Here is a 15090-nt window from a genome sequence, read left to right on the forward strand (position 1 = left end):
CTGTGCGCTGCCCTGTGCGCTGCCCTGTGCGCTCCCCTGTGCGCTCCCCTGTGCGCTGCCCTGTGCGCTTCCCTGTGGGCTGCCTGGTGCTGCCCTGTGTGCTCCCCTGTGTGCTGCCCTGTGCCCTGCAGGTGAGCCGTCGTGGCTGGAAGCAATTTCACTTTCGTGTGTCAGGACAGAGGAAAAGACGAATTTTGCATGAAGCGCAGGTCTGGGGCTTTTCCTCCCAGTTGGTAAAAAGGAGCTGACAGAGAGGCTGCGTGTTGGTGTGAGTGTGTGTTGCAGGCATTTTGTCTAACCAGAATGATGAGGGTGCATCAAGGCTGTCCCGGAGAGTCCAGATCGTAGATTATTTTGGACCCGCTGTCCCGGAGAGCCCAGATCGTAGATTATTTTGGATCCCGTGTCCCGGAGAGCCCAGGTGGTAGATTATTTTGGATCCCGTGTCCCGGAGAGTCCAGATCGTAGATTATTTTGGACCCGCTGTCCCGGAGAGCCCAGATCGTAGATTATTTTGGACCCGCTGTCCCGGAGAGCCCAGATAGTAGATTATTTTGGATCCCGTGTCCCGGAGAGTCCAGATCGTAGATTATTTTGGATCCCGTGTCCCGGAGAGTCCAGATCGTAGATTATTTTGGATCCCGTGTCCCGGAGAGCCCAGATCGTAGATTATTTTGGACCCGCTGTCCCGGAGAGTCCAGATCGTAGATTATTTTGGACCTGCTGTCCCGGAGAGCCCAGATCGTAGATTATCTTGGATCCCGTGTCCCGGAGAGCCCAGATCGTAGATTATTTTGGACCCGCTGTCCCGGAGAGTCCAGATCGTAGATTATTTTGGACCTGCTGTCCCGGAGAGCCCAGATGGTAGATTATTTTGGATCCCGTGTCCCGGAGAGCCCAGGTGGTAGATTATTTTGGACCTGCTGTCCCGGAGAGCCCAGATCGTAGATTATTTTGGACCCGCTGTCCCGGAGAGCCCAGGTGGTAGATTATTTTGGATCCCGTGTCCCGGAGAGTCCAGGTCGTAGATTATTTTGGATCCCGTGTCCCGGAGAGTCCAGGTCGTAGATTATTTTGGATCCCGTGTCCCGGAGAGCCCAGATCGTAGATTATTTTGGATCCTGTGTCCCGGAGAGTCCAGATCGTAGATTATTTTGGATCCAGAAGAGGAGGAGTTCTGCTTTCTGAATTTGTATGGCCTGCTCCACAAATGAAACAAGAAAAACTCCTGAAAACTGGCAGCCTATCTTTCCTGTAAGAAAGTGGTGTTGGGAGGCCAGGAAAATTACCTTTGTTTTGTCTGAGGAGAGGGGATGGCAGCAGGACGGAGGCTTCATGTCTGGTGGTGACCAAAAGCACATTTTCAAAGTGGGAAATATACTAATTAGTGGAGGAATAAGCAAAGGAGAGAAGCGTAGGCTCCTCCCAACGAGCCACTCGTCAGAGAGCCGGAACCTTGTCTCTATCAAGCTGTCCAGGGAAGACGTGTTTGGCCCCCAGGGCTGCAGTGCACCCACCCCACACACACTGGTGCTTGAAGGGTCAAGCTAGAGCAAATCAGAGAATCGGGGGGTCCCTGTTGGTGGACCCAGGAGTGGGAAGAACGCGGCTACCCGAAGTCTTGGCACCAACAGGGAGAGAACAGTCACCACTAAGTGGAGGCATTGTGCGTGGCGGTGGGATTGTGAGAATTGTACCATGGAGTTGTTTTTGGTTTTTAGAAAACTTCCAGGAGCTCAGAAACAGAGCACAGAGCTCATGACTCGGGGCAAGCTCGGAGCACAACGTGAGGACCACTTGATCAGGGTTCGGAGACCAGGACCCAGTGCCGTGAGGGCTTCGGGTCCCCCAGCTGCAGGTTCAGTGCCAAGTTCAGGGCACTGAAGCCAGGGCCACAGGAGGAGCCGCCGGAGCATATGCAGAAGGAAGAGGAAGGAGGAGCTGGAGAACATGATGCTGCTAACCCCAGATGAAAGCGTGTTTGCAGGAACCAGGTGGGAACTCCTGGAGACGGCAGGGGAACCAGGTGGAGGGCGGCTGCTCAGTTGTATCTGTACATGAGACTTCAATCAGCGCCTTCGCTAGCCCATTCATTCACCTGGCATTTATAGAACGCTGCTGGTGTACAGGGTGAACACAACAGCCAAACATCTTGGTTCCTCCTCAGAGATGGCCGGCCCAGAGCCTGGACATCTGACTCACCAATACTCTAGTCCGTCAAAAGGACACACACCAAAGGGGAAGGGACCTGCTGGCCACAGGTGGGGCTGAAATGGGTTGAAATGTGTTACACAACTCACATCTCATGGGTTCATAACTATCCCCCCCGCAAAAAAAAAAAGCAAAAAAAAAAGCAAAAAATGAAAAGAACAAAAACAAAAAAGAAGAAAAAGCTGGAAACCAGAGAGAATGATGCCAGGAACCAACTCATTCTCCTGAAAATGCGTCAGCGAAGGCAACAAGTGCTCCTCCTGCCTTTCCCGGACGCATTGTGACCAACCAGAAAGTTCTCATGGAAAACCCGGCTAACGGATGCGAGAGGAGTGTGGTAAGATTCGCTGTGGACAGTCCAGGACCGAGTGCTGGCGTCGACACCAAGAGCTCCTTGAAGGACACGCTGGGAAGCACACAGCCCTGTGAATTCACTCCTGCCGAGAAACGAAGCTTATGTTGCCAACCTCTGGGTCTGTCCCAGGGTCCCAGGAAGTACCGGCTCAGAGGAGCATATGCGGGTGGCACCGGGGGGCGCAGCCTGCAGTGCTGGAGGGAGGGATTCCACAGGGCAAACACCCAGCTCCTTCAGCAGATCAAAAGGGAGAAGAGTGGTAACAACTAATTGGAGAATTCTGGATATTGACTGTTTATTTGATTTTTTTTTTTTTTGAGACAGAGTTTCACTCTTGTTGCCCAGGCTCTAGTGCAATGGCACGATCTCAGCTCACTGCAACCTCTGCATCCTGGGTTCAAGCGATTCTCCTGCCTCAGTCTCCCAAGTAGCTGGGATTACAGGCGCACGTCACCACACCCGGCTAATTTTGTATTTTTAGTAGAGACGGGATTTCACCATGTTGGTCAGGCTGGTCTTGAACTCCTGAGCTCAGGTGATCCGCCTGCCTCGGCCTCCCAAAGTGCTGGGATTACCAGCGTGAGCCACCGCACCTGGACTGTTTATTTGATTTTAAGGCTACTTCGTGTTTAGGTGTGACAGTGTTATTGTGGTTACCCTCTTTAATACTCCTTGCATTTCAGCAGCATTTGCAGGGAAAATGATATAATGTGCGGGATTTGCTTTTCCACGTATGAGAGAGTGGGATGTGGATGAGCAAGATGGGCGAGTATTGATAATTACTGAAGCCAGGGGACTGGACACTGGGGTTTGTCTTACTATTTTCTCTACTTTTGTATTATGTTTGAAATTTTTAATAACACAAATGTATCAACATTGAGGCCCTTGTGGAGCCTACAGGCTGATGAACCTGTACGTGTGTGAGACGATGAAACGAACGAGAAGACGGCCTAATGTGGTGCAGAAGAAACGCTGTGAGGAAGCTGGGGAGGAGCGTGGGGGCTGTGATGTTAGAGGGGTGGCCTCACTGAGAAAGCACAGCACACGCTTTAGGGGTGGGGTTCCAGCCAAGAAGCCGCACAGCAGAGGCCATGGCTGGGACTGGAGCTGCTATGGCCCAAGGGGAATGGGGAGGAGGCCCCCCAGCCCTGGTTGGTGCTGGGAGACTGTGGACCAGGTGGGTTGGACATGGAGCCCCTGGAGGGCTCGGGCAGCCGTGGCACCATCTGGGGGCTTGTTGGGGGCACAGGGAGACCTGTTGACCGGGCCCCGCCAGGGACCAGGCAGAGCTTATGCTGCTGGGCTGGGGCTGGCCTTGGAGAGCTTGTGTGTGTGGAGCAAGCCTGTGCCTCAGTCCGTTCAAAGGAGCCCGAGAAAGAGGAGCATCCCCCGGATGGGGCCCATGAAGCTCCTCCCTGGGAAGCAGCCTGAGGGCACCCCTGGCCCAGGGGCTGAGTCCTGACGGCGTCTGCAACCTCTGGGCTGTGGTCTCCCTGAGCCCTGATGGCATCTGCAACCTCTGGGCTGTGGTCTCCCCAGTCCTGACGGCGTCTGCATCCTCTGGGCTGTGGTCTCCCTGAGTCCTGACGGCGTCTGCAACCTCTGGGCTGTGGTCTCCCTGAGTCCTGATGGCGTCTGCAACCTCTGGGCTGTGGTCTCCCTGAGTCCTGATGGCGTCTGCAACCTCTGGGCTGTGGTCTCCCTGAGTCCTGATGGCGTCTGCAACCTCTGGGCTGTGGTCTCCGGGAGCCTTGACGGCATCTGCAACCTCTGGGCTGTGGTCTCCCTGAGCCCTGATGGCGTCTGCAACCTCTGGGCTGTGGTCTCCCTGAGTCCTGATGGCGTCTGCAACCTCTGGGCTGTGGTCTCCGGGAGCCTTGACGGTGTCTGCAACCTCTGGGCTGTGGTCTCCCTGAGTCCTGACAGCGTCTGCAACCTCTGGGCTGTGGTCTCCCCAGTCCTGACGGTGTCTGCATCCTCTGGGCTGTGGTCTCCCTGAGTCCTGACGGCGTCTGCAACCTCTGGGCTGTGGTCTCCGGGAGCCCTGACGGCGTCTGCAACCTCTGGGCTGTGGTCTCTGGGAGCCCTGACGGCATCTGCAACCTCTGGGCTGTGGTCTCCGGGAGCCCTGACGGCATCTGCAACCTCTGGGCTGTGGTCTCCCTGAGCCCTGACGGCATCTGCAACCTCTGGGCTGTGGTCTCCCCGAGCCCTGGCAACCCCTATCCCTCTCCGCTCTCCTTCGGGCACACAGCCCGGCATCTCTGCTCTCCAAGGGCTCGTAGTGCCTGAAGCCGACACTCTCTCTCCTGCACACACACAGGTCGATGCCTTCTTGTTCCCAGTGCTTCAGAACAGAGCTGGCAGCGGCTGCGGCAGGAGCAGCTCCCACTGACAGGCTCCTGCAGCCTCCTTCCCACCTGCACAGGAAAAAAGCCCGCATCCATTCTGTAAGGAGCTAGAGCAGCTCTTTGGCATCCTGTACAGGCCTTGGAATGCTTCAGGGAAAAAAGATGATTCCGCATCAGAATGGCTGTGGTCAGACTTGCTGGCAGAAGCCTCCCCCAGGCTCTTGACATGTGGCTTCTGGTCCCTTTTCCTGCCACACCCCTGGGTTCCGCGCAGACCTGGGTCCTTGAAGAACTGAAATTCTAGCTCAACCTCGGCAACTCTGTAGCCATTCGCTGGAAATTTCCTAAGAGAATAAATTGCAACACAGTGCGGCGGATGGGCTGTGTGGGTTTATTTTTACCACGCGCTTAGTGCTATAAAGACGTCACCTTAAATCAGGAGCGTGCAGGCGTCAGTAGGAAATATGTGCATGTGGCAGGTGACGCAGGCCACACCCTCGCCCTCGAACCCCTGGCTTCCTGCACCTGAGCGGGTGGAGCCCAGCTTGACTCCAGCCCTGACGATGGACCTGGGTGCAGAGGGGACCCCTGGTGACCTGCAAGGTCCGACCTTCTGTCCCTTCATGCAGGGAACCTGTGGGGCTGTCACTCCTGAGGGAAGCTCTGAGTCTGTTTCTCTGGGGATTTGCCAGGGGAGAAGGTCATCCACCTGTCGGCTGGTAAGACAGGGTTCCCTGCATGTGATGACAACTTCCTTTCAAAGCCAGCAGCTTGCACAGCGTTTGCTCAGGTTCTCTGAACGGATTACCATTCATTCACCCTGCACCCCTGCTCCACTGAATGCTGGGGGCAGCAGAGGCAGCTCTGGCCATTGGGGCAGCCGCACGACTGTSGGGGGCAGTCAGGACCGGGAAGCCTTGGGCAGTGTAGGGTGCCGTGACCAGGGAGGGTCTGCTTCTTGCAACAGCCCCTTTCCCTTTGCACAGAAAATAATCTGAGGACAAGAACAGTGGCGTGGCTGGAATGGCTGGGGCTGCTCAGGGCCTCTGTTGTTCAGCTGGGCTTGCACCTGAGGCTGACCCCTGGTCTCTGAGACAAGCTGATGGCCATCAGATGCCACAACCCCTGTCTGGACAGGCCCCGAGGACGTGTGTCACCGCAAGGAGCTCAAAGAGGATGGTGGAGTGTCTGGGTCAGAGGTCAGGACCCACCTTGCATCAGCGGGCTTGGGTTTAGTCATTTACCTAGGAGGTTGAGGGTCATCCTGGCTTAAGTCCAGGGCATAGCACAGCAAAATCTACCCTTTGGGAGTTCATAAAGAACATGCATAGTTCTGGCCTCGTGGCGGTCGCCAGCTCTCCCAGGGCCCTGCTCTTCTCTGAGTGACCACTGCCCTCTGGTCTGGTGGACGCCTGGGCATCTGTTTCTATGAAACAACCTGTTTGTTTCTGTGTTTCAAATATTTGTGTTTATTATGGAAGAGACATTATTTTTTCATGGAATTCTGAAGACTGTCATTTTTGAAGGATAAGCAGGTTTTGGACAATTTGCAATTCTTACAACTGTCTGTAAATTTACATTACTGTTATAAATGAGAAGACCCTTCTGATATTCAGACACCTTGTTAAATACTGGCTCGTCATTGATGCGTGCAGCCCAGTGTGGGCTTTGTGGGGGTTTGAAGTGTGTGTGGTTTGTAGCACACGGACATTCCCCTCCCAACGCAGAGGCATCTTTGGCACGAGCTTCAACCGTAAATCCAGAAACAAGCTTGCTGGCTTTGGACTTCATGGGCCGGTTAAGTAACCCCCCATAGCTGAGGACTGATTTAAATGTACTTTTAATTTTGTCCAACAATAAAAAAAAAAATAAAGCAAGCAATAGCAGACATCGTCACTTATGGGAAGTGCCTGGGGACGACAGAGTCGGCCTGAAGGATGCTGCTCTCAGAGGCAGGCAATGGCCCCTCCGGGCACAGACGCTTTGGACTCTGCCTGTCTCCCTGAGCAGCAGCAGCCGTGACCATGTCCCTGTGTGTGGCCCTTGGTCCTGTGCATGTTCAGACCACAGCCCACAGCTGTCCTCGCGACCCCAGGCAGACACTGACCACAGGACACTGAGAGGTTCAATGCAAGGCAGGCACCACAGCACGAGGGGCTGAGTGCAAGAGCTCAGGCCGTCCTCTCCGAGAGCCCCACGCTGGAAGGGTGGGTGCGGGATCTGTAGGGTGGGGTGTGGGATCTGTAGGGTGGGTGTGGAATTGTAGGGTGGGTGTGGGATCTGTAGGGTGGGTGTGGGATTGTAGGGTGGGTGTGGGATCTGTAGGGTGGGTGTGGGATTGTAGGGGGGGTGTGGGATCTGTAGGGTGGGTGTGGGATCTGTAGGGTGGGTGTGGGATCTGTAGGGTGGGGTGCGGGATCTGTAGGGTGGGGTGCGGGATCTGTAGGGTGGGGTGTGGGATCTGTAGGGTGGCAGGTCCCCCACCAGGTTCTTAAGGCCCTGTGTTCGCAGCCTGGGCCCTGAAAGCCAGGTGGTGAGCCAAGGCCCTGGTGCCCAGGCCAGGAGTTGGTGTCTCTGAGAACCCAAAGATCGAGGAGAGGCTCTGAGAACCCACCGAGGAAACAGCCCCATCACACACACACAGGAGGCAAAGCCAGAAGATCAGCTTAAAATAGTTTGGAGACGGGAGGCGGCGCAGGTCTCAGGGCTGTCCTGCCACTGTGCAGCAGTGTCCTTGGTAAATCCTGATCAACACATTGACTCGTCAGATAACGTGGACCCTTCTGAGTCATTTCTTGGTCTTTTGACCCTTCCCAGTTTGGGAGGGGGTACGTCACAGTCCCAAGTTTTTCTCGTAAAGGGGTGTCCCCCATAGAATGCACCCTTGAGATCACATGGTCCTGGAGCCCCTTTCCAGGGGGTTCCAGAACAATGCTATGAAACATTTGTTCATTTGATTCGTATTTGTTGAATTCCTGCTACCTACCAGTCACTCTCAAGCATAACACGGAGCTGGTTCTGCAGACTACACCCGGGCATCTGGGAACTGGCACCCAGGAGAGCACCCGACACCGCTGAGCTGGGCCAGCAGGTCGTTCTCTCTGATTCCCCATCAGCCTTGCAAGACCTGTCTTAGGAAGAGGAGTCCAAGTGAGAAAGGGGCAGATCCTGGAGCCGGGAAGGGATTTGGGGGAGGGCCCCTGACGCCCTGTGGGCTGACCGTTCCCCGGTGCCACTCAGGAGTCTCCTGTGGAGCCCTCACATTTGCAGTGGGATGTGCTGTAGGTTTACGGGATCCCAGCGCCAGACAGAGTGAGAGGAACGGGACATTCATGCTGGTGTCCGTGGGTCCCGCCTGTTGCCTCTCAGACCTCTCACCGAGCTTCTTGACCTGGGCTTCGCAGACCCTGGGCTCTTGGACCTGTGTTCAAAGGAGCATGGACTCTGGCTGGGKTTGCTAAAGCTTCAGAYAACTGTCCAGCGCTGAGTGGAGCGGAGGCAAGCCCAGGGGTGCTGCCCAGAGGCAGCTTCCTGAGAAAATGAAGTTGCTGTTGTTTAAAGCCACCGAGGTTTTGCAGCAACGGGGGAGTGAGCATTGGTCTCCACCACGCCCGGGGCCGGGTCAGGCCAGGACGAAGGGTGATGTTTCCTGTGCGGATCCCGTAGGTGGAGTTCACCGTCACTGGGAGGCCTCACAATCATTGCTTTATTCACCTCGACAGGTCCCATGAGGCGAGCCCCCGCTCCTCCCTTATTTAAGCATTTTAAATAACGAGTTTACAAATTTCCAACTTCAAAATGTGTTAAAAAATCTTCACTCCTCCCACCTCCTCTCCCGTCTGCTCAGTCCTGCCTCTTGGAAGAGGCAGCCATTGTCACTGGTGTCTTAGGTGACTTCCCAGAGGTCCTTTAGCACATACAGTTCAATACAAATACATATTCCCTGACTTTTACACCAACGGCAGGATGTTACATACACTTTTCTCCTTGTTACTTAAAAATTTTTAAATTTTCTTTCATTTTTATAATAGACTTTATTTTTAGGGCAGTGTTAGGTCTACAGAAAATTGAGGGGATCGTAGAGAGAGTTCCCACATACCCACGTCCAGTTTCTTGCACTGTTAACAGTTTATGTTAGAATGATACTTTGTTACAATCAATGAACCAGTGTTGWCACATGATTGTTAGCTAAAGTCTGAAGTTTATTCACGTCTTTAGTTTCCCCTAAATGTCCTTTCTCTGTCCCAGGACCCATCCAGGGTCCCACATGACACTTTGTCCCGCGTCTCCGTAGGCCTCTCGGGGCTGGGCAGTTCTCAGACTGGCTTTTGGTGACTGGGACAGTTTTGAGGAGGCCTGTTGGGTGTTTGGTAGCTGCGTCTCTGTTAGAATTGTTCTGATGTGTTTCTCGTGGTAAGACTGGGGTTTGGGGCCTGGGGACAATGACCCCAGAGGTGAAGTGCCCTGCTCACCCCATCCTGTGAGGGACTCACACACCCAGCACGGATGCTTGCTGTGGACACTGGCCTCGGCCACCCAGCTGAGGGGAGTCGGTCAGGTCTCCCCACGGTGATGTGATCCTTTTCCTTCCCTCTCCATACTCTCGGGAAGGAAGTCAGTCTACACAGCCCACACTTGAGGGTTGCGTATTTATGTTTAATTTAATATTATTTATTGGAGATCTTTTCATATGACTACAAAAAGAACTTCGTGTTCTGTTTCACGCCTCATAGTATTCTATTGTACGCATCTGCCGAGACATTTGACCGGTCCTCTCCTTGATGTGCATTTAGGATGTAAGTATCATTGAAGACACATACTTTTTTTTTTTTTGAGATGCAGTCTCACTCTGTAGCCCAGGCTGGAGTGCGGTGGCGCGATCTCGGCTCACTGCAAGCTCCGCCTCCCGGGTTCACGCCATTCTCCTGCCTCAGCCTCCCGAGTAGCTGGGACTACAGGCTCACGCCACCACGCCCGGCTATTTTTTTTGTATTTTTAGTAGAGATGGGTTTTCACCGTGTTAGCCAGGATGGTCTCCATCTCCTGACCTCGTGATCCACCCGCCTCGGCCTCCCAAAGTGCTGGGATTACAGGCGTGAGCCACCGCGCCCGGCCGAAGACACATACTTTTAAAAATATTATTTTTACATTGATTTGGTAAATTCTTAGAATTGCTGGGTCAGAGCCAGACGCGCTTGCAATTTTGTTAAGTGCAGTGAACTCTCCTCCATCGAAGTTTGTGCTGTTCCGTGCTCCCGCCAGCAGCAGGCGAGGCTGGCCTCCGGCAGGTTGTCGAAAGCTTGGCTTTCACCGAGCAGATGTATGAAAACTGGTATCTCAGTGTAGTTTTAGTCTTTAATTTACCTTTTGATGAATCACTYTGAGCATCTCTTATATGATGAAGGGTCATTTTTATTCATTTTTTTGTGAACAATTTGTTTGTTGATCTGTTAGATTTCTTTGGCTATAAAGATTAGCTCTCCGTCTGAGGTAGGAATTGCTTGTATGTTTTCCCCGTGTCATTTGTCTTTCAACTTTGTTTTGTTGTAGGTGTTTTGGCCATGAAAAAAATATTTCGGGYAAAAACTTTTCATCTGTTCTCCAGCTTCTGGGCTTTGTGGCGGGGTATGGAAGGGCTTCCCCAGGCTGGGTCATGGGGGCCCCATGCTCTCTGTGCTCTTGTGGTTTTGCTCCCTAGCATTCACACTGTGGCCCTGTAGGGTCCTGCTGGTGGCTGGGGTGAGGTGTGCATGTAACTGAAGGTGGTCACCTAGTGTTTGAATATCGTTACTAATAATTCGTCTTTTCACCACTGACTTGAGGTGCCRCCTTTGTCACATGCTAGCAGCTCATACACGGATTTAGGTTTTTTTCTGAACTCTATTCTGTCCGTGAGTCTGGCTAGGCAGGTGCCAGGAAGTAGTTAATACCTTGTGCCTGTTTTGCAGACAGGAACACTGAGATAGAGGCAATATCTTGCCCGCGGCCTGACAGACAGTAAGTAGGGTGGCACCAAGCTTCAGACCCCAGGGTCCCATCAGGCGCCCCACTCCTCCTGCCCCTGTGTTATCATCAGGGCTCCTTCTTCCTCTCATTGGTCATCGTCAGGAATGACTAGAAGGCACAGCATCCCTGTTGCTTATCTGTGAGCTCAAACCAAAAAGGCACCAAGTTATCTGGGGCTCACAGAGGCGCCGCATGGTACCAGTAGGCCTTGATACTTATCCCTGGAAGGAACCGTTTTCTGTTAAGGAACTTCACTAGATGGTTCTCTCACTCGAGGTGGAAGTTCGAGGCGGTCATTGTCTTCTGCTTCTCCCACACCCCCGCCAGCTGTCTGGACTTGCACATCTGGGGTGCTGTTTGTCCCTCCTTGCTGGGATTTCCCCACCCATCACCCACATGTGGACGCACAGCACCTGCTCCATGCCAGTCCTCTCGGAGACCCTCCTGACCCTGCAGGCAGAGTCGATGTCGCTGTCTCTTGAGGACCACTGGCCTCCTCATGCAGCTTCYGTGGGACTGAGATAAGGTGTCTGCATGTCTTCATCTGCCAGCTGAGCCCAGAACACCTTGAAGCCAGGGCTGGGCTCTGTTTCTCGGGGTCTCCAGGGGTCAGAACCGCAGGTGACTGACTACACGGGGAACTGACTGAGGGGCCTCATGGCTTTTAGACTGTTTTATGAATTGCAGACATTTATTTAGCTCAGGACAAGCTGCATGCATGTCCAGTTTTATTTAACTTCTAAATACCTGGTCTTCTGTCTGAGTCTGACTTCTGTGTTGCTGCCAATCAAAGGTGGCTGTGGGTTGTCTGGCACTGGAGGTGTCTCTGTGGGACCTTCCTGACTCCTCACTGCCCCAATTCTCCCCACATCCCTATGTGCCCAACACCCTACACCCACTGAGGCCCAACCTGGGCAGAATTACCAAGCAGGTGAGATTGGTTGGCCATTCTCCCCAAAGCACCTTTTGCTGAGTCTCTTTCCTCACCCCTGTTCTCCCAGCTCATGGTCAGCTGACCCCTTGGGTATGTTAGTGACTCATAGCTTGGGTGTTTTTCCTTCCTGGGGGTATTTGTTTTCTGTCAGGAGACCCTAGAACATCAGGAAGTACCCCCGCCCCACCAGGTTCCCCAGCCAGCCACTGATATCGGTGAAGCCGAGGCCAGCACTTACGAGAGCCTCCAGGATCTGCAGAGGAACACACACCTCCAACTGTCAACTGTCAACTGTGCTGAAGCCACACGTGGGGGACAGGCAACGTGCCCATGCCCTCTGCTGGACTTGGCACTGTGTGCGTGACACCCAGCTCCCCTCGGTGCAGCCTGGCAAATCCATCTACCCTGGTGTCTGAAGTTTGCCCATGGTCTTTGGCCAGGGGCTGTGGAAGGGCCTCCGGGGACTGAAGGTCGGGACCCATTTGGGGTCATTGAGAGTAAATCGACTTGTTAATGGGGCATCCTCCTCAACCCACTCCTCAGGGCCCCACATCCACGCTCACCAACTGCACATGCAGACCCAGGAGGTGCATGAGCTGAAGTCTGTGGGCCGCAGAGCCGTGGGCTCGGAAGAAGCACAGCCCACCATGCCRTGGATCTCCACGCGTGGCTCCTCTCCACGCCTGTGGGTTGCTCCAAAGCTGCAGCGTCACGCGCAGATGCCAGGTAGCCGTGATGGAGGCTCGGGCACAAGCTGTATTGCAACGGCTTTGTGAGTAAGACAGCGGTTTGTCTTAGCTGTATCTCGTTAGGGAGTTCCATCCCAGTCATATTAAAAGCACCATGCCGCATGGCACAGAGTGACAACAAATTCCTTCAAGATAAAGGAACCCTAAAACTGTAAGAACTCGAAGGTCTCGTCTGCGATGCAGTTTGTCTGGGGCAGGGGAGGGATCTGCCCGGTGTGGCTCTGGCCGCAGGCAGGAAGCTCCCTGGAGCCCATTCACTCCCAGCCCCCATCCTGCACCCCCAYGTCCCACTCTGTGACTTGCCTGATTAAAGCGTCAGGGAATTAAAGGGGGAATTGGAGGGCAGCTGCAGCTACACATGAAATGAACAAGGATGCGCTTTTCCTGGTGAACGATGCTTGCTGGGTGCCCTGTCCCCTAAGGACATCTGAGTCAGAGCCAGACAAATGGGAGAAATTTGTCTGGGGATTAGGAGACCTTTGATGCCTCATCCCTGTGGAACTACATGGAGCTCATTCTGCAAATCACCTTCTCCTGCCTCCTCTGAGGTGACTTAAGACTCCGTTCTCTTCTGACCTGKGCTTCATGGGCCTTCCGTGGAGCCCCAGGCCGCTGGCTGCCTGGGGTGACCATGTCCACTTGTGTCAACCAACACGTGAGCCTGAGAGGCTGGAGCTCAGAATACACCCTGGGGCACGGGGACAAGTCCTGGGCAGTGGCGGGAGCTCTGTTTGTCATTTTCCTTCACTTCACTCAGACACACTTCAGCAAGTGTGTCTGAGCCAACATAGAAAGATGGAGCAGCAATTCAGAAGCATCTCTCCTGAAGACAGAAGGCCAGTGCCCAGCTTCCTGTCACTCACTCGAGAGCATTGGGCACCTGCTGGGGGCTGCATGAGCTGCCAGTGAGCAGACAGGCAACGTCCCAGTGCTCCAGGGATGCGTGTTCTATCTGGGCAGAGACAACAGCAACCAGCAGACAAGAAACGCCGCAGAGTGCTGTGTGCTGGGTGCCGGGTGACGCTCAGGGTGGTCGTCTGGGCATCCGTGTCAGAGTGCTGTGTGCCGGGCGACGCTCAGGGCGGCCCTGCGGGCATCCGTGTCAGAGTGCTGTGTGCCGGGCGATGCTCAGGGCGGCCGTGCGGGCATCCATGTCAGAGTGCTGTGTGCCGGGCGGAGCTCAGGGCGGCCCTGCGGGCATCCATGTCAGAGTGCTGTGTGCCGGGCGATGCTCAGGGCGGCCGTGCGGGCATCCATGTCAGAGTGCTGTGTGCCGGGCGACAGTCAGGGCAGCCGTGCGGGCATCCGTGTCAGAGTGCTGTGTGCCGGGCGACGCTCAGGGCGGCCGTGCGGGCATCCATGTCAGAGTGCTGTGTGCCGGGCGGAGCTCAGGGCGGCCCTGCGGGCATCTGTGTCAGAGTGCTGTGTGCCGGACGAAGCTCAGGGCGGCCCTGCGGGCATCCGTGTCAGAGTGCTGTGTGCCGGGCGACGCTCAGGGCGGCTGTGCGGGCATCTGTGTCAGAGTGCTGTGTGCCGGGCGACGCTCAGGGCGGCCGTCTGGGCATCCGTGTTAGCGTTCTGTGTGCCAGGCGATGCTCAGGGCGGCCGTGCGGGCATCCATGTCAGAGTGCTGTGTGCCGGGCGACGCTCAGGGCAACCGTGCAGGCATCCGTGTCAGAGTGCTGTGTGCCGGGCGACAGTCAGGGCAGCCGTGCGGGCATCCGTGTCAGAGTGCTGTGTGCCGGGCGACGCTCAGGGCAACCGTGCGGGCATCCGTGTCAGAGTGCTGTGTGCCGGGCGACGCTCAGGGCGGCCCTGCGGGCATCCGTGTCAGAGTGCTGTGTGCCGGACGAAGCTCAGGGCGGCCCTGCGGGCATCCGTGTCAGAGTGCTGTGTGCCGGGCGATGCTCAGGGCGGCTGTGCGGGCATCCGTGTCAGAGTGCTGTGTGCCGGACGAAGCTCAGGGCGGCCCTGCGGGCATCCATGTCAGAGTGCTGTGTGCCGGGCGATGCTCAGGGCGGCTGTGCGGGCATCCGTGTCAGAGTGCTGTGTGCCGGGCGACGCTCAGGGCAACCGTGCGGGCATCCGTGTCAGAGTGCTGTGTGCCGGGCGGAGCTCAGGGCGGCCGTGCGGGCATCCATGTCAGAGTGCTGTGTGCCGGGCGACGCTCAGGGCGGCCGTGCAGGCATCCATGTCAGAGTGCTGTGTGCCGGGCGACAGTCAGGGCAGCCGTGCGGGCATCCGTGTCAGAGTGCTGTGTGCCGGGCGATGCTCAGGGCGGCTGTGCGGGCATCTGTGTCAGAGTGCTGTGTGCCGGGCGACGCTCAGGGCGGCCGTCTGGGCATCCGTGTCAGAGTGCTGTGTGCCGGGCGACTCTCAGGGCGGCCGTGTGGGCATCCGTGTCAGCGTTCTGTGTGCCGGGCGACTCTCAGGGCAGCCGTGCGGGCATCCGTGTCAGAGTGCTGTGTGCCGGGCGACAGTCAG

The 15090-nt window shown here is 55.5% G+C and overlaps 1 annotated feature.

Moving 5' to 3' along the window:
* Positions 12830-13777: an enhancer, noted in NCBI's record as "H3K4me1 hESC enhancer chr17:81081099-81082046 (GRCh37/hg19 assembly coordinates)". NCBI's record gives its function as "activates a minimal SCP1, AML or CMV promoter by ChIP-STARR-seq in naive H9 embryonic stem cells {active_cell/tissue: H9 hESC(naive)}" and the evidence as "EXISTENCE:reporter gene assay evidence [ECO:0000049][PMID:30033119]".

Source organism: Homo sapiens, chromosome 17 (assembly GCF_000001405.40).
Source record: "Homo sapiens chromosome 17, GRCh38.p14 Primary Assembly".
In the NCBI taxonomy this organism is placed as follows: Eukaryota; Metazoa; Chordata; class Mammalia; order Primates; family Hominidae; genus Homo; species Homo sapiens.